The following is a 22,832-nucleotide window of genomic DNA, read 5'->3' on the forward strand; positions in this document are numbered from 1 at the left end:
TGCATTCTCTACCTCCCAGGCCCAAGCGATTCTTGTGCCTCAGCTTCTCAAGTAGCTGGGACTACAGGCAAGTGCCACCACACCCAGCTAACCTTTTTTTTTTCTTTTTAATAATCCGTGTATTCTGAAAGTTTTTGATGTCTATGAAGTTTTGACTTGCAAAATATTCTAGTAGTTTACAATTTCTCAGTAGGCTTATTTAAACTTTGTTTATTATTAAGAATTGAACCAGTTCCAGACACCATTACCAATGAAATCAGGCCCACCATAGCAGCTGAAGTCGACCATTTATTACATGCACTTCATTTGAGTCTTATTAATGCTGACATCTGTTCAAGTCTTCATTACCATATTACCACAACTGGTCCCTTGTCACATTTATCCTGATTCTTTGTAGCATAAACACAAAAGAGAAAAATACATTTCCAACTAATGATAAGGTTATTTATAAATGAGATATATTCAAAGAATGATTTTCCACATATTGGACACATGCTATTCATTTCTCAATTTTATTTTTACCTTTAGACAAAAAAATTTTAAATACTGAATTATAAACAAGATTTAAAATTTTATTCATGAAACTAAAAGTATGTTTTAATACACAGCTATACAAGACAATTACTTAAGCATACATTTAAGCAATGTAATTAATAAAATATTTTCTTTGTGAGTTTGAGATGTTACTTTTATGAATTTTGCAATAGCCTAATGAAAGAATAAAAATTACGTAATTTTTGCAATGATCATTCATTCATCATTTTTAGTAGCAACACAATTCTATGATATGTTATGGTTGTAACAGTGGCTTTTTCAATGATGCTTTCTTAATGACACTTTACAAATTACACTAATAGTCTCTCACGGCAAGGTTGGCTGTATGTATTTTTTGTAGGCTTTATAATATCATCTGAGTCTATTATTACCTCTGACATTTTTCTAGAGGCCAGTTAACTTGTTTATATTCAAACACCGAGTGGGAAATGCCAGCATCAATCACCGTTTCTACCTGTAATGCATAGTGATAATAGCAACCACGGGTAGTAAGCACTTTGCTAAGTATTGGGCTTAAATGATTCCAGTTATTTTCCTCAATAAGACTGTATTATAGGTATTCCCATTTCCTTGAGGACAAGAGTAATAAGTAATTTTCTAGAAGTCATGCTTTAGTAGATATATTTGAAATTAGCACCCAGGATATCTGACTCCAGAATATGTCCTCCCAAGTGTGATGCTCTACCCTACTTATCATAATGGTTCTGCCTGAAAATAATTATTATGTGCCTACCATATACTTATCTCCAACACTATTATTACTGAGTGGCCTAAAAAAGAAGGAAAAGTAGGTATCCTTTTCTTTAGGGTAGGGAAGACATACAAAGGTGAAGCTACTGAAATTAATTATAATAGCAGTATATAACATGGTGAATCCTTGTCTTGAAAATGTAGTCAAGAGATTAGGCTGAACTGGGGCTAGTTTTTCATTGAATTGGAACTTAAAAGACATACTAGAGAAAAGCAAAAGCAAAAGAAAGTCATACTGGGTGGACAAAAGGGCAAGGGCTAGACCTAAAGAGAATAAAAACAAGCATTTGAAAATCAGTGAATGAAAGACACTCTACAAAAGAACTTGCTCTATTTTAGGTAGTACCTTTCAAAGTCACCTTTCAATTTTGAAATATGGTAAACTCAACAATTGACTATAACTGTTAGTAACTAAAATTATTATATCTCAAGTATTTTTTGAAAAATAGTTCAAATTATCAAAATTTTGAATTCTTTGGAGACTAAAAAAATTAATAAGTTGTCAATTGACTTCATGCACAAAATGTATGTGGAGTATATACAAGCGGCATTTTTTTTTAAGACGGAATTTTCCTCTTGTTGCCCAGGCTGGAGTGCATTGGTGCAACCTCAGCTCATTGCAACCTCCACCTCCCAGGTTCAAGATATTTTCCTGCCTCAGCCTCCTGAGTAGCTGGGATTACAGGGGTGCGCCACCATGCCCAGCTAATTTTTGTATTTTTAGTAGAGACAGGGTTTCACCATGTTGTCCAGGCTGGTCTTGAACTCCTGACCTCAAGTAATTCTTCCACCTCGACCTCCCAAAGTGCTGGGAATACAGGCGTAAGCCACTGCACCCAGCCACAGGCAGCAAATTCTTAACAGACACTATAGAATGAGCTTAATAGAAAATTTGTGTCGTTACATAATTTGCATTTATGGACTGCTTCTAGAAGATGTGAAAAATAGAGGAAAGAATATGCGTTGAGGTCAAATTTTATAAATCAATGTTTTCCTAAATATACATGTATTGACTATCTCTGCTACACCAGAGAATGCTGTTTCTGCAGGACATTAACAAGGGATAAACATATAATAATTTCCATGTATAAACACATTTGAGATAGGGTGTTCAAAAATTACATAGGTTTTGTATGGTGTATCCACTGAATACTTCTAATGAGCTGAGAGATATTGGTAAAGTTAACAAGAAGAGTATAACATGCAGCGTTTCTCAAAATTACTATACTACGCACTATTTTGATAGCGGGTTATGGTGACTGCATTAGGATAAATCTGCATTCTCAAGATTTTTGGGGTAAAGAGATATGTGGTCATATCCTATGAAATAACTGTGAGTCGTTTAGGAAAGACTTAGACATCGTGAACCCATGTGATGTGGACCATGAGTGAATGAAAGGTTTGGAAAATGGAAGATGTCATTCATAACATGAAACTTTCAGGTGAAAGATTCTCAGGAACAAAAATCTCTAAAGAATACAAGAAAAATGTTCATGAGAGAAAAATCAGTTTTAACCATTTCTCAGACCCAAAGAGCATGAAATCTATCGAATCAAGTCAGAAGTATTCTATCACCTTACCAGTTTTCTCTCCTTTCTTCCAATAATGTTCAAAACTGCAACTAGAAACTAAGGAAACAGGTGAAAAAGAGAGGGAGCAGAAGCCGGCTGCATTTCCTTTTACTGATTAATATATCTGCCAGCTATGACTCTGGGCATTCAGAAGAAGGAGAGTAAGCCTTAGCCTCAAATGGCATTGAAGCAGATTGATTCATGTTTTCATATATTAATTAATAGGTGATTATTTAATCCAAATTTTATGCTGTGACTTAAAGAGATTGTACAACCATTTATTATCCAAAAATGAAAAGAACAGTTAATGATGTCACCAATTTTAAATTATTGGTCTGAGTTATTACCCTGAAAGTATAAATGTTAAATAAGGAAGAGTAGTATATTAGTTTTCTAGGACTGCCATAATAAAGTACCACAGACTGGGTGGCTTAAATAACAGAATTTTATTCTTTCACAGTTCTGTAGGTTAGAAGTCCAAGATTAAGATGCCAGCAGGATTGGTTTCTTCTGTGGCCTCACTCCTTGGGGTGTAGATGGCTGTCTTCTCTCTGCATCTTCACGTGGTTTTTCCTTCTGTATGTGTCTGTGTGCCTGTCCTCTTCCTATAAGGACACCAGTCATATTGAATGAGGACCCACTCATTTTAACTTTAAAGAGCCTATCTGTAATTACAGTCACATCTGATGTACTGGGGATTAGGATTTCAACACACAAATTTTGTGAGGGTGACACAACTCACCCCATGGCAGGTAGAAAGTTACAATTCCATCAAGTCATATTCAATGCATCTGTTGCATATTGTTATATTCTCTGATATATCAAACTACTTTTGATTTTCTGGAATTAATCCAGCTTGGTTATTGAATAATTGCTCTTACGATGTATTTCTAGATTCTAATATAATTTTTAAATCTATAATCACAAGATAGATTGGCTTACTGTTTTGTTTTGAATATATTATTTAGGGTTTGTAATATTAGGTTGCCGTAAAAGTAATTGTGGTTTTTGCCATGGCAAAAAGTAATTGCAGTTTTGCTCTCATGAGCATTTTTCTTGTATTCTTTAGAGATTTTTGTTCCTTTGAATGGCAAAAACCGCCATTACTAACACCAACCTAATATACATTATGTTGGCAAATCTGTGGCAACACATTAGAAAATCTACAGAAAATGGGTGATTTTCATAGCAAAATTGCATTAAAATATCAAGAAGAAATGAAAATCTTAGATAAAATATTTAAAAATTGTGACATATTTACCATTTTAAAATATTCTAGGAATATGTGAGTTGTTATATATACTAACTATTAATACTTTCTGCTACAACACCCTTAAAAACCACAGTGATTAAAAAGTGTATATTAAGTAAATTCTGTGATGTTCTCATTGGGTGAGACTTTTGTGGCTCTTCTCCAAGAATTGGCTGAATTCACCCAGATATCAAGCAGGCAGGAATCAGAAAAGGAGGGTGTTTAGGGGAGATATGTCCACTCTAAACTGCCTCAGTAGCACCCCATCAGCTCAGCTCACATTTCAACTGTAAAGCACATCTCCACATGAGGGGCTAATTATGGTAGTTCAGCTGTGTGTCCAAGAGAAAGAAACAAGTTTCTTGAGCAGTGAGTTGGTCCCTGCCACAGATGGGTTCACAGTTGAGTTTCAGCCAACTCTAAAAACTCTTAATTACAATGTTTTCTAAATTATTCCAAGCTAGGAAAAGAAAAATTAAGTCCTCAGTCTTTCTGACAATGAAGGATAATTTAATTTTAATTTTGACTTGATTTTAATAATCTTGACTTTTAGGCATTAAAAAAAGATGTAAAACTAAAAGCATTTTTTCAGCTATTGCATTTTGCAAAATGGAGAGCTTCTTGGCTTAGGAAACAATTTCTGGAATATTTTAGATAGATGATAGATTTGATTTATATCTACATATACATATAAATCAAAATAAGAGATCTCTTCATTGAAATATAGTTATACATCTTTAAATTTTTAATCAACACTTAGGGAGATGGCATGTTATTATACAAAATGTGTCCCTTTTAGGTTCAAGTCAATCTCCAAATTTCTGTTCTGTCGCTTCCCAGTTTTTTGACATTATGCAGGTCACTTTGCTTACTTCACCTAAATTTTCTCACCTGTAAAATAGACATAAATATAAGAGTATCACAAGATTCATACATGATTCGCATGGCATAATCTTTGAATTGACCCAGAGCAATGGACATTACAGCACGGCCATCCACACAAAGGCAGTGTTTTTTAATCATCATTAACACCTTTAACATTATATCAAATAATTTACCTTCGGTGTTTTCCCATTCTATAATCTTCAAGGCTTTTGTACAGAAAACATTGTAATTTCATACTTTGAGTATACTTACTTCATCCCCTGACCCTTTCAAAACATATAACAATGATAGACAAAATGTGAAAGAAAAAATATCGACACAACCCAGGCAAAAATAAAGCAGACAACCCCAAGGGCTAGAAATTGGACAAAAACAACAATTAGGATTGAAATTGGTTCCTACTTGGGTCAGGGAAAAGAAGTTTCAGGCAACTATGAATTGGTATCCACGGGTAACAGAACTAGAAGTAATTCCTATAAATTTGGAGATCCATTCCAGGTTTACTGCTAGAAAATAGCCTGGGGCAGAGTTTCCCAAACTGAAAGGCAGTTGCCAAGGTTCATGGTGTCTCTGGAGTGGGAGACTATAGCTAATTCCAGAAGAAGGAGGGGCTATAGCACATATCAGGGAGAGTGGAATCTGCAGGGAATATCAGAAGAAACAAAGTCTCTGGCCAGGTTCCGAGCCAAGCTTCCCTCTGGCAAGTGGCCATGTAACTATATTTCTAATGCCAATATTACCCCCAATCTGCCAGCATAAATACTATCTTTGTATTTGAAGACAAAATTGTTAGTTGGAAGAAACTATAGAACATCTAGATAGAGAGGGTCAAAGAGAGAGAGAGAAGGAAAAGAAACAGAGTGACAAGCAAAGGAAACAGCTCCTCAAGAAGATTTTGCAAAATAAAATTCCAAAACCCACAAGGCAAGTAAATAATTAGTTGCTTTAATAAACCAAGGCAAAAAAATTAATTAGCAATTAAATAAAACAAACCTATGTTTATTTCCTCAAATGCATAAAATAATAATAATAGCATTGAGGAAGAAACAGGCATTATTAAACAGAAGCACTTACTAGGGTAGGAAAAAGAACCCAAAGAATTATTAGAAATGAAAAAAATTAAAAACCATTCAATTAGTAAACAGGGGTGGAAAAATCCCTGAACTGGTAGAATAACTAGTAGGGAGCACAGTTTAAGTGATACCTCTGGTTAAGATAACATTAAGAAATTCGTTTAGAACGCAGCCTGTACATATATAACATGAAAGAGAAGTTAATATCCAGGAAGGGTCGATTGAAAGACTTTAGCATGTTGAAAATAATATCAAGAAAATGATTAAAGAGGAGATGGAGAAATGAAGCAACCCAAAATTGATAATGGATTTGAATTTTTTTGAAATTCAAAAGTGCACAAAAAGTCTGCATGTAAATCCACATCTACCCGCACCACTGTGAAACTGCAGTGTGTATATTTGTATGTAAACTGAGAGAAAAGACATACAAATTATAAAAGTACAATGAAGAAGGCGACATCAAACTTCTCATCAAGGCTAACACACAATCGGAAGCAGTGTTCTTGTGTTCTTGTTCGTCGAAGTACCAAGGGAAAATCACCTCCAGCTCTGAAGTTGACATCTGCCTAAACTGTGGTTCAACAGTATAAAGAAGGAAAAACACTTTGAACAAACAAATCTTAAAGTCTCTATGACACATAGACCCACTCTGAACGAACTATTGGAGGATTTCATTAAAATGAAATATTCCTAACTGAGGTTATTGCCAAGCAATATGAATAAACAAGTGGTATATTTTAAAAAGTAGTATTTTGCAGAGAATCTTTAGAATGGCCAACTATGTAACTTTTTGGAAAAATGATTAGAATCAAGTGTTATAAATGAAACATTTCAAATGCCTTAAAATTGTGAGCTGAAAATATCTGAGACAGATCTCAATCAATTTGGAGAGTTTATTTTGCCAAGGTTTAGGATGCCTCCTGACACAACCTCAGGGGTCTTGAGGACATGCACCCAAGGTAATCAGGGTACAACTTGCTTTTATGTTTTAGGAAGACATGAAACAATAATAAATATGTGTAAGATATATATTGGTTTGGTGTTGGTGGGGCTTCTGGATTCCAGATAGATAAGCACAAAATGTTGCATTCTTTTGAGTCTTTGATCAGCTTTTCACCAAATGCACAATTTAGACTGGCTCAGTGAATCCTCATTGTTACATAAACAGTAGGGCAGAGGAAGCAATGGAATGTGCATTTGTCTCAGGTGAGCAGAGGGATGACTTTCTGTCCAGTAGCTGTGAAGATAAGCTGTCAGTTTACATTGCCAGGGTGAAACTCAACTGTTTTGTGGTTAAGATCTTGAGGCCCACAAGGAATTTCTCTGTTGGCAAATTATGAGGGAGGTATGGAGCTTTTTTTATCTTTGTAGCTATCTTACTTAGGAATAAAATAGGAAGCAGATTTGCCTTGGCTTAGTGATTTGGGGGTCTGAGTTTTTTTTATTCTTTCACAAGATCTTTATATGTTAAATGAAATTCCTAAATTAAATTAAGCATTATCACTTCTGCAACATTTTGCATTACACAACACCTGAGTGAGAAGGCCTTATAAAATCCAAAGAATGCTTAGCTACTTTCAGTATACTTTTTTTCTGTTTCATTTTTCTTTTTAAATTTAGCAAAGAATTCATATTGAGTTATGAGATATGTTTAAAGGAAATTATTCTCAATGATTAAGATTTATTTCTCTTCCTTAATTCTATTTAAATAAAAATGAAAAATACAAAGAAAAAATGTAAATATTTATATATATATTTTAACTACAGATCTATTCCTGAAAGAGGGGGTTAACTATATTTCAGAAGTCAAATTGGATTTTAAATATATTTGAATAGATGATAATTTGGGGTAATCTTATAGTCAGTCTATTAAGGAGTGAAAACTACTACTAATTTCTCACTGCTTTATATGCTAATTTTAGTTTCCATATTAAATTTTGTGAAAGTATACATGTTCTCATTTTAAAACTGTTAATATCCTGACATTAAGAATATTTAAGTCTATATAACCACTTCTAATCTTCAGATTTTTTTCTCCCACTTTTATTTTGGCAAATTAATAAAGTAAAATTTAACTTCAGGAGGGTCATAAAAGTGACTATCATTCACCTAATAGACGAAAGTATTTTGTTTGTTTGTTGTTTGTTTGTTTTTGATACGGAGTCTCGCTCTGTCACCCAGGCTGGAGTGCAGTGGCGCGATCTCGGCCCACTGCAAGCTCTGCCTCCTGGGTTCACGTCATTCTCCTGCTTCAGCCTCCCCAGTAGCTGGGACTACAGGCGCCCGCCACCACGCCCGGCTGATTTTTTTGTATTTTCATTAGAGACGGGGTTTCACTGTCTTAGCCAGGATGGTCTTGATCTCCTGACCTCGTGATTCGCCCGCCTCAGCCTCCCAAAGTGCTGGGATTACAAGCATGAGCCACCGCGCCCGACCGAAAGTACTTTCGTTTGCTTCTTCCAGACGAGCTTGTTGGAGGTCCTCCACCCATAGTCCCCACATCAACCCCTTGATAGTAAATCAAGGATAATTGATAGATTTCAACATTTGACTTACAAAGTTTTGAGAAAATCATAAAACTAACATACATCTTTCTCTGTTCTGTAATTGATGTTGTGAAAGAAAATAGGATCTTAGGACCTCATACTCACTATGCTAAAGGGAAAGTTAAGCTTGGGAACTGAGTCAGGCAAAAACTGCCTCTTTTTGGTTCACAGATAGCTGTAATTTCTCAGCCCTGTGTCATAGCCTCATTTTCTCTTTTCACATGTAAAATGTAGATTTACTGAAGCTTATCAGAGCCTTACAAGAATGTAACCATCTGCTTCATGGCCTATCCTCCCTCCCTTTTTTCCTCCTTGCACTTTCTCTAAATATTGATGTACCGAAAAACCCTTTTGAAAAAAACTCAGGTGACAGATGCTCCTATGATTTATATTTTTTTCCTGGATACATCCTCCCCCTTGTCTAAATAAACCCGTATAGTTTTAGGCCTGCCTTAGTCACGTTTTGGTGTACGGTGTACAAATTCTGAATGGTAATGAACATATGATCCACAATTTTATTTTAGAGTGCTCTTATTTTGAGGGGCAAAGCTTGCTAATTATTTTTTCTTCTAAATTCTGATAAATAAAAATATTCACATGGGGCTTCCAGAACTAGTTTGCTCTATTCCTGTAACAGGTGCTATCATATCCGTTGTGCTCCAGAAAACTTTCAGTATCCACATAACCTGACTGAGAACTTTTCTAGAAATGTGGAAGGATGCTCTGCAGTTAAGGCCAGCTTCAGAGGCATCTTGATTTTATTTATTTATTTATTTATTTATTTATTTATTTATTTATTTGAGACGGGGTCTCTCATTCTGTCACCCAGGCTGGAGTGCAGTGGTGCCATCACGGCTCATTATAGCCTCAATCTCCTAGGATCAAGAGATCCTCTCACCTGAGCCTCCCAAGGTGCTGGGATTACAAGTGTGAGCTTCCATGCCTGGCCTTGAAATTCTTAATAATGCTCTCCTTGAATTTTAATTTGTGTTTTGTAAGTTAAGTCATTGGGACAATCAATGAGGGGTGGGTTGAAATGTGGGGGTTAGAGTCTTGCATGACCTACCCTGGATAGCTTCTTGGCTGCCTTTGCTTCAACCCCTCCTAACAACTGCTGCTGCTCTCCTCCTTGGGGAAAGTAAAGGAGGTGGTGGGGAAGGGCCATGGAGTAGGGAAGTGGAGAAGGAGGAAAGGAAGTATACATATGCATTTCACTATTTTGCACCCCTTCCCCTAGTGTGGGCCTCAGCACACATACTGGGAGGGTTGGACATGTGCCCAGCAGCATCTCAGGACAGGTAGTGCCCAACCCCAGCCCGGGCTGTTAACTCAATGGTGGATTCATTAGGGGCCCCTTGACCACTCCCATCCAGATGCAGAGTATGTCTCAGCTGGGATGCAGTGCATTGTGGTTTTCAGGTGGTTGGATGGCAGGCCCGTGGGAAGGAGAGCTTGACTTCCCTGCCCTTGGCCAGGTCCCCACTTTTACATTATGCCCTTGGAAACAAAATGCAGGTTCAGTCGCTTGCCACCTACAGAGTCCAATAACAAAGGAGAGGTCTGGTATTTCAAGACTTTTATTTCAAAACTAGCTTAGAGGAAACAGTACCAGCTTCCTGTCTTAAGGGTCTTGCTTTGCTTTTGGAGCAGAAAGCAGGCACTTTTAAAAGGCATGAGAGGAAGTGAGCAGGTAGGTGGTCTGCATGCTAGCTCAGTGCCTTATCTACCAGACAATTGAGTTGGCATTTTTGTGGTCAGAAAGGGTTGTAGAGGTGGCCCAAAACTCTCCAGATGGGAGAGAGTTTTGTAGCGGGACTTTGGGTTGCAAACTGAATGTTATCTCTGGAGGCAACCTCCTGGTGTGTGACAGCCCGCTCTGGAGTTTCTAAGTCCACAGTTAAATCAACTTACTTTGTAGGGAGTGTCTGCTGAAGAGACAGTAAAAGGCTATAATTGTGTTTCTAAAGAGCTAAGTAGGAAGCAGGGGAAAGGAGGAAAGAGGAGATAGAAAAGAGAGAAAAAATAATTAAACTAGCTCTTAGATTAATGGGGGTATTTGAGTATAGTCTGGGTCCCATGAATTATATAGCCAGCATTATCTGCAGTGAGTATATCAGCCATGGGAAGTGACTGAGTCAATCACTCTAAGATAACCCAACTTCTGGCCAGGCACTGTGGCTCACGCCTGTAATCCCAGCACTTTGGGAGGTCGAGGCAGGTAGATCACGAGGTCAGGAGATTAAGACCATCAAAAATTAGCAAAATACAAAAATAAAATCAGCAAAAACAAAAAAAAAAAAGAAAAGAAAACCCAACTTCCTTGCCTTTAGGTAGATTATTCCAAGACATGAGTTTTACAATGTTTTTTTTAGAGCTCTCCCCACCCAATTAAGTTTATTGTGGTAACTGGCTTGATAAAAAAAATCCTGTATTGAGTGTACTCATCTGTTTTCACACCACTGATAAAGATATGCCTGAGACTGGGTATTTTATAAAGAAAAAAAAAGCTTTAATGGACTCATAGTTCCACATTTTTCCTCACAATAATGGCAGAAGGTAAAAGACACGTCTCACATGGCAGCAAGCCAGAGAAAATGAGAGCCAAGTGAAAGGGAAAACCCCTTATAAAGCCAACCGATCTCATGAGACTTACTCAGCACCATGAGTACACTATGGGGGAAACCACCCCCATGATTCTATTATCTCCCACCAGGTCCCTCCCACAACATGTGGGAATTATGGGAGCTACAATTCAAGATGAGATTTGGGTGAGGACACAGCCAAGTTTCTTTTACATGATGTTGCTTTAAAATGCCATTATAATTACTTTGTATTATTCCCCATCACCTGTATCTCACTACCACACTTCCATGGATTATTATGTTACACAGTGTTGAAGAGATGTCTGGCTAAACAAAACCCACTACATGTTTGAATTCCAGGCATTTTGATGTTTGTTTGAGAGATATAAAAAGCCTTTTAAAAATTAGGGCTGTCACTGAAAATCTGGGAAATTTGGTAACTCTATAAAATTATATATATATATATATGCTTTTTCAAAGAATTATAAACATCAAAAACACTTCTGTTGGGAGGCCGAGGTGGGTGGATCACAAGGTCAGGAGTTTGAGAGCAGCCTGACCAACATGGTGAAACCCCATCTCTACTAAAAATACAAAAATTAGCCGGGCGTGGTAGCACACACCTGTAATCCCAGCTTCTCAGGAGGCTGAGGCAGGAGAATTGCTTGAATCCAGGAGGCGGAGGTTGCAGTGAGCCGAGAATGCACCACTGCACTCCAGCCTGAGTGACAGAGCCAGACTCTGTCTCAAAAAAAAAAAAAAAAAAAACACTTCTGTCCAATTGGAAAATTGGTATCTTTGGCACATATGATAGTTTCACTCACGTCCATGTGAAGAGACCACCAAACAGGCTTTGTGTGAGCAATAAAGCTGTTTATTTCACCTGGGTGCAGCTGGGCTGAGTCCGAAAAGAGAGTCAGAGAAAGGAGATAAGGGTGGGGCTGTTTTATAGGATTTGGGTAGATAAAGGAAAATTACAGTCAAAGGGGGGGTGTTCTCTGGCGGGCAGAGTGGGGGTCACAAGGTGCTCAGTAGGGGAGCTTTTGAGCCAGGATGACCCAGGAGAAGGAATCTCACAAGACAATGTCATCAGTTAAGGCAGGAACCCGCCATCTGGATGTGTACGTGCAGGTCACAGGGGATATGATGGCTTAGCTTGGGCTCAGAGGCCTGACATTCCTGTCTTCTTATATTAATAAGAAAAATAAAATGAAATAGTGGTAAAGTGTTGGGATGGTGAAAATTTTAGGGGGTGGTATGGAGAGATAATGGGCAATGTTTCTCAGGGCTGTTTCGAGCGGGATTAGGGGTGGCGTGGGAACCTAGAGTGGGAGAGATTAAGCTGAAGGAAGATTTTGTGGTAAGGGGTGATCTTGTGGGGTTGTTAGAAGAAACATTTATTGTGTAGAATTATTGGTGATGGCCTGGATACCGTTTTGTATGAATTGAAAAACTAAATGGAGTAAGAGAAGGAGAAAAACAGGTATAAAAGGTCTAAGAATTGGGACGACCCAGGACATCTGATTAGAGAGTGCCTAAGGAGATTCAGCATAGTCCTGCCAGCAGAGATTATTTATTTACTTCAAGAGTTAAGAGTGGCAGTTTGGGAATAGTACCAGGAGATATCAGCTGTGATGGCTTGCAGAAACAGTGTAAACCGGCAGTGTAAACAAGAGCAGGGCATGTATGAGTAGTTGAGAACGGTGAATAGGCGTATGACTAGACAGAACATAGTAGGGATGACAAGTTTTTGGGGGCACAGTCTAAGTTGTTCTGGTGTCTGGAATGAGACTGGGGCCTAATAAAAAGGAGCATCTATACAGGAGCTCAAATGGGCTGTACCCTGTAGCATTCTGAGGACAGGCCTGACTTCTGAGAAGGGAAAGTGGTAAAAGTATTGTCCAGTCTTTTTTAAGTTGGTGGCTGAGCTTGGTGAGGTGTGTTTTTAAAAGACCTTTTAGTCCATTCTACTTTTCCTGAAGACGGAGGACCGTAAGGGATATAAAGGTTTGACTGAATACTAAGAGCCTGAAAAACTGCTTGGCTGATTTGACTAATAAAGGCTGGTCTATTATCAGACTGTATAGAGATGGGAAGGCTAAACTGAGGAATTATGTCTGACAGAAGGGAAGAAATGACTGCGGTGGCCTTCTCAGACGCTGTAGGAAAGGCCTCTACCCAACCAGTGAAAGTGTCTACCCAGACTAAGAGGTATTTTAGTTTTCTGACTTGGGGCATGTTGAGTAAAGCCAATTTGCCAGTCCTGGGCGGGGGCAAATCCCCGAGCTTGATGTGTAGGGAAGGGAAGGGGCCTGAATAATCCCTGAGGAGTAGTAGAATAGCAGATGGAACACTGAGAAGTTATTTCCTTGAGGATAGATTTCCACGATGGAAAGGAAATGAGAGGTTCTAAGAGGCGGGCTAGTGGCTTGTGCTATAGCATAGCCTGCCTTTGCTGGTGTGTGGCGATTAGGCCTGGTGGAACCACCATCAATAAATCAAGCGTGATCAGGGTGAGGAACAGGAAAGAAGGAAATATGGGGAAATGGGGTGAATGTCAGGCGCATCAGAGAGATACAGTCATGGGGGTCAGGTGTGGTATCAGGAATAATGTGGAAGTCGGGATTAAAGTCCAGGCCAGGAACAATGGTAATTATGGGACTTAACAAAGAGTGAGTACAGCTGAAGGAGCCGGGGAGCAGAAAGTATATGCGTCAGGTATGAGGAAGAAAATAGATTTTGGAAGTTATGAGAAATGTAGAGAGTGAGTTGAGCATAGTTCGTGATTTTTAGGGCCTCTAAAACTATTAAAGCAGCAGCAGCCACTGCACGCAGACATGAGGGCTAGGCTAAAACAGTAGGTCAAGTTGTTTGGACAGAAAGGCTACAGGGTGCAGTCCTGGCTCTTGTGTAAGAATTCTGACCGCACTAAGCATGCCTAGGAAGGAAAGGAGTTCTTGTTTTGTAAGGGATTGACGTTTGGGAGATTAATCGGCCACAATCAGCAGGGAGAGCACGTGTGTTTTTATGAGAATTATGCCAAGATACGTAACAGATGTGGATGAAATTTGGGCTTGACTGAAGTAATAGGGGCTGTCTGTGAAGCCTTGCGGCAGTACAGCCCAGGTAATTTGCTGAGCCTAATGGGTGTCAGGGTCAGTCTAAGTGAAAGCGAAGAGAGGCTGGGATGAAGGGTGCAAAGGAATAGTAAAGAAAGCATGTTTGAGATCTAGAACAGAATAGTGGATTGTGGAGGGAGGTATTGAGGATAGGAGAGTATATGGGTTTGGCACCACGGGGTGGATAGGCAAAACAATTCGGTTGATAAGGCACAGATTCTGAACTAACCTGTAAGCCTTGCCTGGTTTTAGGACAGGTAAAATGGGGGAATGGTAAGGAGAGTGTATAGGCTTTAAAAGGCCATGCTGTAACAGGTGAGTGATAACAGGCTTTAATCTTTTCAAAGCGTGCAGTGGGATGGGATATTGGCATTGAGCCGGGTAAGAGTGATTAAGTTTTAATAGGATGGTAAGGGGGGCATGATCGGTCGCTAAGGAGGGAGTAGAGGTGTCTTATACTTGTGGCTTAAGGTGGGGAGACACAAGGGGAGGATGTGAAGGAGGCTTTGAACTGGGGGAAAAGGTGGCAATGAGGTGTGGCTGTAGCCTAGGAATAGTCAGGGAAGCAGATAATTTAGTTAAAGTGTCTCGGCCTAATAAGGGAACTGGGCAGGTGGGGATAACTAAAAAGGAGTGCTTAAAAGAGTATTGTCTAAGTTGGCACCAGAGTTGGGGAGTTTTAAGAGGTTTAGAAGCCTGGCCGTCAATAGCACAACAGTTATGGAAGCAAGGGAAACAGGCCCTTGAAAATAAGGTAATATGGAGTGAGTAGCCTCCGTATTGATTAAGAAGGGGACGGACTTACTTTCCACTGTGAGAGTTACTCAAAGCTTGGTGTCCGTGATGGTCTAGGGGGCTTCTGAGGCGATCCGGCAGTGTCAGTCTTCAGCCACGAAGCCGAGAAGATCTGGGAAGGAGTCAGTCAGAGAGCCTTGGGCCAGCATTCCAGGGGCTCTGGGAGTGGCTGCCAGGTGAGTTGAACAGTCTGATTTTCAATGGGTTCCTACACAGATGGGATACGGCTTAGGAGGAATCCTGGGCTGTGGGCATTCCTTGGCCCAGTGGCCAGATTTCCGGCACTTGTAGCAAACTCCTGGGAGAGGAGGTTCTGGAGGAACCCCTGGCAGCTGCGGTTCAGGTGTTTGGAGTTCTTGTGTGCTGGAAATGTGGCTGGGGTTTGTCTCACAGTGGAGGCAAGGAATTGCAACTCAGAAATACATTGCTACTTGGCTGCCTCTACTCTTATTACTGCACATCTTGAAGGCAATGTTAATTAAGTCCTGTTGTGGGGTTTGAGGTCTGGAATTTAATTTTTGCAGTTTTATTTAATGTCAGGAGCGGATTGGGTAATAAAATGTATATTGAGAATAAGACGGCCTTTTGACCTTTTAAGGTCTAGGGCTGTAAAGCATCTCAGGGTTGCTGCCGAACGAGCCATGAACTGGGCTGGGTTTTTCATATTTGATGAAAAAGAGCCTAAACGCTATCTGATTTGGGATAAAGAAAAAGGAGCATTAACCTTGACTATGCCTTTAGCTCCAGCCACCTTTTTAAGAGCAAATTGCTGGGCAGGTGGGGGAGGGCTAGTCACGGAAGGAAACAGTAAGCTGGACCAGGTGTGAGGAGGGGAGGTGATAAAAGGATTATAGGGTGGAGGAGTGGAGGCTAAGGAAGAATTGGGACCTAGCTCGGCCTGCTGAGGAGCAGCCTGGGGAGAAGGCTTATAACATTATCTACATTGAATTTAACCTCTTACCCAGACAGTAAATTTACTTCCTTTTATTTATAATCTTCATGTGTTTTATTGATAAACATTTGCATAAAAATTAGCTAAAATTTATCAAGTGCATACCATGTATTGGGCAGCCTTCTAAGTACTTCATATTTATTAATTCACTTATTTTTTTCAATACTCATTTATTAAATAATCCTCATTTTACAGTTGAAGAAATTAAACTCAAGAGAAAGAAATTGGGTAGTTAAGTAATCTACACAGTCACATAACAGTAAGAGGCAGAAACAGAATGTGAACCCAAACAGTGGGTTTCAGAGGTGCCTTCTTAATCAATTTATTATTCTGCTACTTTGTATTATTCTGATACTTTATATCAGAAAATGAAGAAAAAGAGAAAGTGACCCTAATTGTCTGAAGTGTTTAGTTCATCCTTGCATTCCCTATCACACGATAGTAATAAAAAAACATTTTTAAAGTTATTTTAATTATGAGCATGCATACAAAAATTCTAGGTTAATGGGTGGATGGAATGCAATGATTATACAAACTAAAAAGTCAAGAAATGTAGTTCTTAGGAGTAAAACTTAAAAAGAGAAACAATGCATCTTTTATAAAGCATTTAATGTTACACAAACTTAGGAAATTAATAGAATTTGATAAAGCTGACATATGATATCTACTGGAAATTTGAAAGCAAATATTGTTTTAAATGTTGCTGTAAATGTTGAAATAAGCTTGTTAATTAAATGGTGTCTGTTCAACAAGCTCTGGCTGTCTTGGCCTATGCAATACAAGAAGAAAATAAAACAGGAGATATGCAGATTGGAAAAAAGCATCAGAATTTTCTGCCAAGCTTATGACTATCGATGTAGAAAACCAAAGAAGTTCTCATCTACACTCATGGAACTGAGAGACTTCAGCAATGTTGCTACTCATAAGAGCCACATGAAAAAATTAATAACCTTCCAAAAGATCAATGAAAAAACAATCAAGATACGTAATTAAAAGAAACATTTCTCTTGTAACAACAACAAAAGACATTGGATAGTCATAGACCTTTAAGAAAAGATGTGTAAGATCTATGAGGATTAGTGAAGGTTTTACAGAAAGACCTAAATTAAGGTGAGGTATGAATAGGAAGGTGTTAAAGCAAGAATATAAATTTTCCAAAATGTATGCCAAAAATTATTTTCTGAAATATTTCCCAAATCTCACAGTTCAATGAAGTGCCAATCAAAACCATATCAAGATTTTTTTCTGTGGTGATTTTTTAAAACTTAATTTGAAGTGTCGTTAACAGAGAGTAAGTATACAAAAATAGTCAAGAGAAACCTAAAAAACAGAAGAAGGAATGAATCAATCTAACAAATATCAAGACTTTTTACATAGCTACCTTAATTAATAGAGTGCAGTATTTGTGTAAAAAGAAGCCATTATTTCAGTGGATTATCACTTCAAAGCCCAAAGGCAAAGGAAAGAATACTTGAGAAATTAGTATGTGAGAGGATTGATTATCAGTTTCTAGTTATTTCTAATCTATAAGTAGACCAGAAGTTGAGTTTGATTATATGTGTGTGTGTGTGTGTGTATATATATATATATATATATATATACACATATATATACATATATATATGATTATGTATATTACATATTTGAGCAAAATTTGCTACTATGGTTATATTTTTAGTGAATATTTGAGGAAATAAATAAAATCCAAGAAAATAGCAATTCAATCTTATGTCAATAAGTAACTGTGTAATTGTCAAATAAAAAAATCCATAAAATGAACATTATTAACAACTAATACAAGACCAGCTCTTGAGTAGACCATGAAGTGTAACTAATCAACAATTATGGCAAAGTTTTTTCTCTTTTGTGAGAACGAATTACAATGTTTTCCTTACAGCTTTTTGAATCAGATATTATGGCTCTGAAAGCAAATTTAATTTTCATCGCAATTCATGACTCAGATATCTTTTCAGTGGAAAGCAGTGAATTGGCTGCCAATTAGATTGATGCTATTTGAATCTGCATGCATGTTCTTGAAATAATCCTAAAAGAATTCAATTCAACTTGCTGACAAAAGAACTGATCTATACTGCTGGGTTTTTTTTTCTTTTTATTCATCCTATTATGTTCCCTAATCCTGAGTATATTTTTTACTAGGAATGAATGAAGATTGATTCAGTCCCAATTACAGAGGCCATTCAGTTAATTACCCTCATGTTATCCATATAATGTACACCTATATAAATGAAAGTCACTTTTCTCTGAAGTCTCAAGTCTATGAATTTCTTATGGGACCAGTGCAGAACAGGTAATATTGCAATTATAATTGGATACATATGCTTGTAATTACACTGCCCCACTCAGATCTTCTTACTCTACCTAGTATCTGATAAAACTGATAGTTGGGAAAATGAGAAATAGAATTCTGATTCGGTCTGTAATGCAGATTTATTTCTTGAAAGCTACAAAAGTGATTTCTCAAAAGACAACTGCTATATTTTAAAAAATAAAATCTTGCAGTAAACAAGTTTCCTAAGAGAGTATATCTCTTATTCTAGAGAAAATAATTCATTGTTTTAGAAACTAGAAAGCCTAAGTAGCCTAGGGTTTCATAGAACATAAGTTGAAATTAATTGACCTCATTATAAATAATGACCTTTCCTAACAGAGCATGTTGATGAGTATCTGTATGTGCAGAAGTGTCTTAAGAAAATGATTGGTGAAGGCAATCTCATACTATGCCTTCAGACACTCATTTCTTTTAATTTTCATCTACTTCTTACATTTCACTGTTTTTCCAAGCTCATGCTAAATTTCTCAGAGTTGCTTCTTTGTTTTGCTCTGACTCATTGCAGTTTCTTTGTGTTACATACATCCTTTAAGTCCCCCCTTGAGATGGTAATAATCTGTTTTCGTCTCTGCCAACTCCCTCCCCAACAACACGGCATATTTAATTGTAACTTCAGGAGGCACAATTATTCTTATTATAGAATTCAGACAATGGAATGGGTAAACACATATAAGATGATGAGAGTCAGAATAAGTATATATAAGAGAAAAATAGTTCATATGTTGTCACATGTGCTATTGTGACAATACAATAGTGTTGTGTATGGAAAGCAAGGATCTTCTCCCAATATCTACAGGCTTATTATGTGATAAGTGATATTTTTTCTGTGGATGAAGAGACAGAACCAGAAAATATTGGCAATGCTAACAGGACACATGTTAGTTCAACTGTATGGAGAACTTCCTGCCAGGCAATGGGATGAGTTAACTAAGGACAACGGAGCTGTGTCATGCTAATGATTATCTGAGGAGTGTGAAGTTTACCCTATTGTCAATGGACAGCTAAGAAATAGAGGAATAACTTTTTAACAATAGATCAATTCTGTTCTTGCCAAATGAATATTTAGCCAAATGATGAATTCAGCATCCATTTGGTTTAGATAAAACAATGTACTTAGAGTAGAGGACTGAAAAATAAGGCAGATGATTTGGAAGAGATGCACACGTGAGTATGGTCCATGTAGAGGTCATAGTTAGTATTATGAAAGAAAAGTTAATGGGTTTTACAGTATGAAAGAAGGCAAAAAGGAGAGTGCTGGGAGCATGGAAAACTTGGAGAAAGACATTATATATATATACATATATATGTATATATATGTAATGTAAAGACATTACACACACATGTGGAGTAAAAATGCAATAGAAAATAAGACAGATGAACATAACATTAAATAAACTAAAATACTTTTATGACAGATGAGAAAATTGTATAACGTAAGTGCTGGGGTTGGAGGACAAAATTTTGTTCCTGGGATTAAAGAATGCTGGTGAATTGAAAAGATCAAGAAGTAATAAAAGAAGTGTCTTCATCCCTTTATATTGTTATGTCATTGAACTCTCTTATGGATTGAGTAGAAGATTACAAGTGTATTGCCCCTTTGTTTTTCTCAATTAATTTTTATAGAAGTATGGTGATTGAAACTACCAGTATCAATCAAGATGGTCTAGGATATGGAATGATAACAGCCAACTGTAGCACATCAGTGATTTCAGACCACACCCAGACTGTTGGAGCGGCCACTCAAACATTGCTAATACTAGAGCAGAAGGCTCTGTGTGGTCTTAATTGGCAATTAAATGAGCCAGCCTGGAAATGACATGAGTCAGGTCAAGTGTACCCAAAACTGATTGACCTGATAGATATTTAATGGTTGTTTATTCTCAAGTAGTGAGGATATCCTACCCATTCACTAGCTAGATCAGAGCTGTGTCCTAATGAACATGGGTACTCTACACGCATATTAAAAAACACTTATTGCTTAGAAGGGTATGATGGACTTGGGGACTTAGAGAGGAAGGTTGGGAGGAGGATGAGAGATGAAGGACTACACACTGGGTACATTGTACACTGCTCGAGTGATGGGCACACTAAAATCTCAGAAATCACCAGTAAAGAACGTATCCATGTAACCAAACTCACCTGTACTCCCTAAACTATTGAAATAAAAACAAAACAGTTGTTGGTTTTGTTGCTGTGTTATTGCTATTGCAATACAAAATATGAAAAAAAAAGAACCAGGAATATCTAAGTCAGTTAAAAATAGTTTATTCGTACTCCCAGAAAACTCAGAGGCCATAAAATAAATAGTTGGAAGCAAAAAAACTAGAATTGGAGAGAATTAGAGTGAACAAATTTGCAACGAGGAAAATAATGCCAGCAATGAAACTAATTATTTATGTGAAAAAATATTTCCAAAATATCAACTAAACATTTAAAAAGTGACAACCTAAACAATCATTTAATTAAAATGATAAATGATCAAATAAGACATAAAAATAAACTCTCTAGAAATATATACAAAAAATGGAAAGACTTAGAAACTGTTCTTATAAAATTCATAAAATTATAGAAAATTATAATTCCTATTTTTATTAAAACAATAGTAAAATGCATATTATTATATATGCTGATGGGATTGTAATCAGAAAAAAGTGTTTTATGAGACATTTTGTTCATAGAAATTAATTATAATGAGATGGTGTTAAATAGAAAGAATATCAACCATAAAGAGAGGTTGCCTAAATTTGAAATCAGATCATAACATTCACCACTTCTGGATGAAAACTTTACATTTTAACCGTTTAAATATTTATTTGTTTCCATCCATCTCCTAGAAATTAAAAACATACCTAACAGTGAGCAAAAGATGCAGCCTAATGAGGTTCAGTGAAGCATTGTTTATTTTACCGAAACTGAAGAAAACATATAATAAATTATTCTGTACAGAATTTGCCACACAAAAAAATTAACGTATCTCCATAATGTAATGAATGCAATACATTTTTTAATGTATTCATCTGAAAAGATATTTAATATATTATTATGTGACAAAAACCAGTGAAAAAAGAGTATGTGCAGTCTTTCCCACTTTTAGAAAGAATACATTAGTATAAGAACAAATAAACACAAGAATATACAAACATTAGAGCAGTTTCCTTTGGCAGATGCAATTATGAAGAAATTTTACCTTAGTATTCATTTTAAATATTTTAATAATAAATAACCTTAAATTACTTTTATGATAAAAAATAGAACTGTAACAATAGAAGCTAAATGATTCATTTAAAGTATATTCCAAAATATTATGTTGGTAGTAGGATAACAACTTAGAAAAGTCCATGTACCATGTGCTACACATTACAGTTTTAAAGTGCCTTTAGTAACATCTGACAAAAGTTGATAATATAACACTTAACAACCATTGTACAGAATAAAGAGCCAATACTACTGATAAAGGCATATTACCCACAATTGGGGCATGAAATTTTCATTTTCCATTAAGATTCATTTTATACAGCTCCTCTAAATGGCCTCTTACGAGCCCATTCCTGCTGTCATCCTGCCCACTTGCTTACATAAACAGAAATTTAACAGCCCATATTCTTGAATCCGTACACTTAACATTAAGTGGGTGCTTCTCTGAAATAGTGATACACATGTTTATTAGGAAATATGATGATATTTATCATTTAATGTCATGCTTTATTTGGTATATGGAAAATTCTGTAAAGTGAAAGCAATTTCCAAATTTATAAATTATTTTCTAATGTGCATTTCAAAAGCAGTAGCTCCATTTTCCGAGTTTTAAATCTGAACAAGAACAATTCTATTTGCCCTTGATCTATATTGCATTGTATTGATGTGATATTTCATGGACCATTATTTTATAAATCAGATTTCTAACATACTTAGGACCTAAGTTATGTCAATACCTCCAATCAACTACTATTATCCTGTTTTCATATTTGCAATATATTTATAATAGCTTCTTAGTAGAGGTAGCTAAAATTATAATTAAAAGCAAGACTGTGCGTTTGTCACAGGAGAAGAATGTTAAAAGATGCTGTTACTATTAGGATTATTAATAATGCTATTATTTTACTATTATTATATTCTTCAAAGCAGAGGTGTCCAATCTTTTTGCTTCCCTGGGCCACATTCGAGGAAGAAACATTCTCTTGGGCCACACATAATATATACTAACAATAGCTGACGAGCAAAAAAAAAAAAAAAAAAAACTCACAGTGTCTTAAGAAAGTCTACCCACTATGTGTTGGGCTGCATTCAAAGCTGTCCTGGATCGCATGCAGCCCATGGGCCACGGGTTGAACAAGCTTGCTTTAAAGTAATAGCATAGTGCCTAATAAACACCTAGATATATTTCTCTCAGATAATTACTAGT

The 22,832-nt window shown here is 36.9% G+C and overlaps 1 protein-coding gene across 2 annotated transcripts in view, besides 1 other annotated feature; it reads left to right on the forward strand.

Moving 5' to 3' along the window:
• The window catches only part of GALNTL6 (polypeptide N-acetylgalactosaminyltransferase like 6), a 1,228,156-nt gene that overhangs the window by 160,672 nt on the left and 1,044,652 nt on the right, over positions 1–22,832 (forward strand). The gene's annotated exons all lie outside the window — the stretch shown is intronic.
• Positions 19,121–19,655: an enhancer, noted in NCBI's record as "OCT4-NANOG hESC enhancer chr4:172914347-172914881 (GRCh37/hg19 assembly coordinates)". NCBI's record gives its function as "activates a minimal SCP1, AML or CMV promoter by ChIP-STARR-seq in primed H9 embryonic stem cells {active_cell/tissue: H9 hESC(primed)}" and the evidence as "EXISTENCE:reporter gene assay evidence [ECO:0000049][PMID:30033119]".

Source organism: Homo sapiens, chromosome 4 (assembly GCF_000001405.40).
Source record: "Homo sapiens chromosome 4, GRCh38.p14 Primary Assembly".
NCBI lineage: Eukaryota > Metazoa > Chordata > Mammalia > Primates > Hominidae > Homo > Homo sapiens.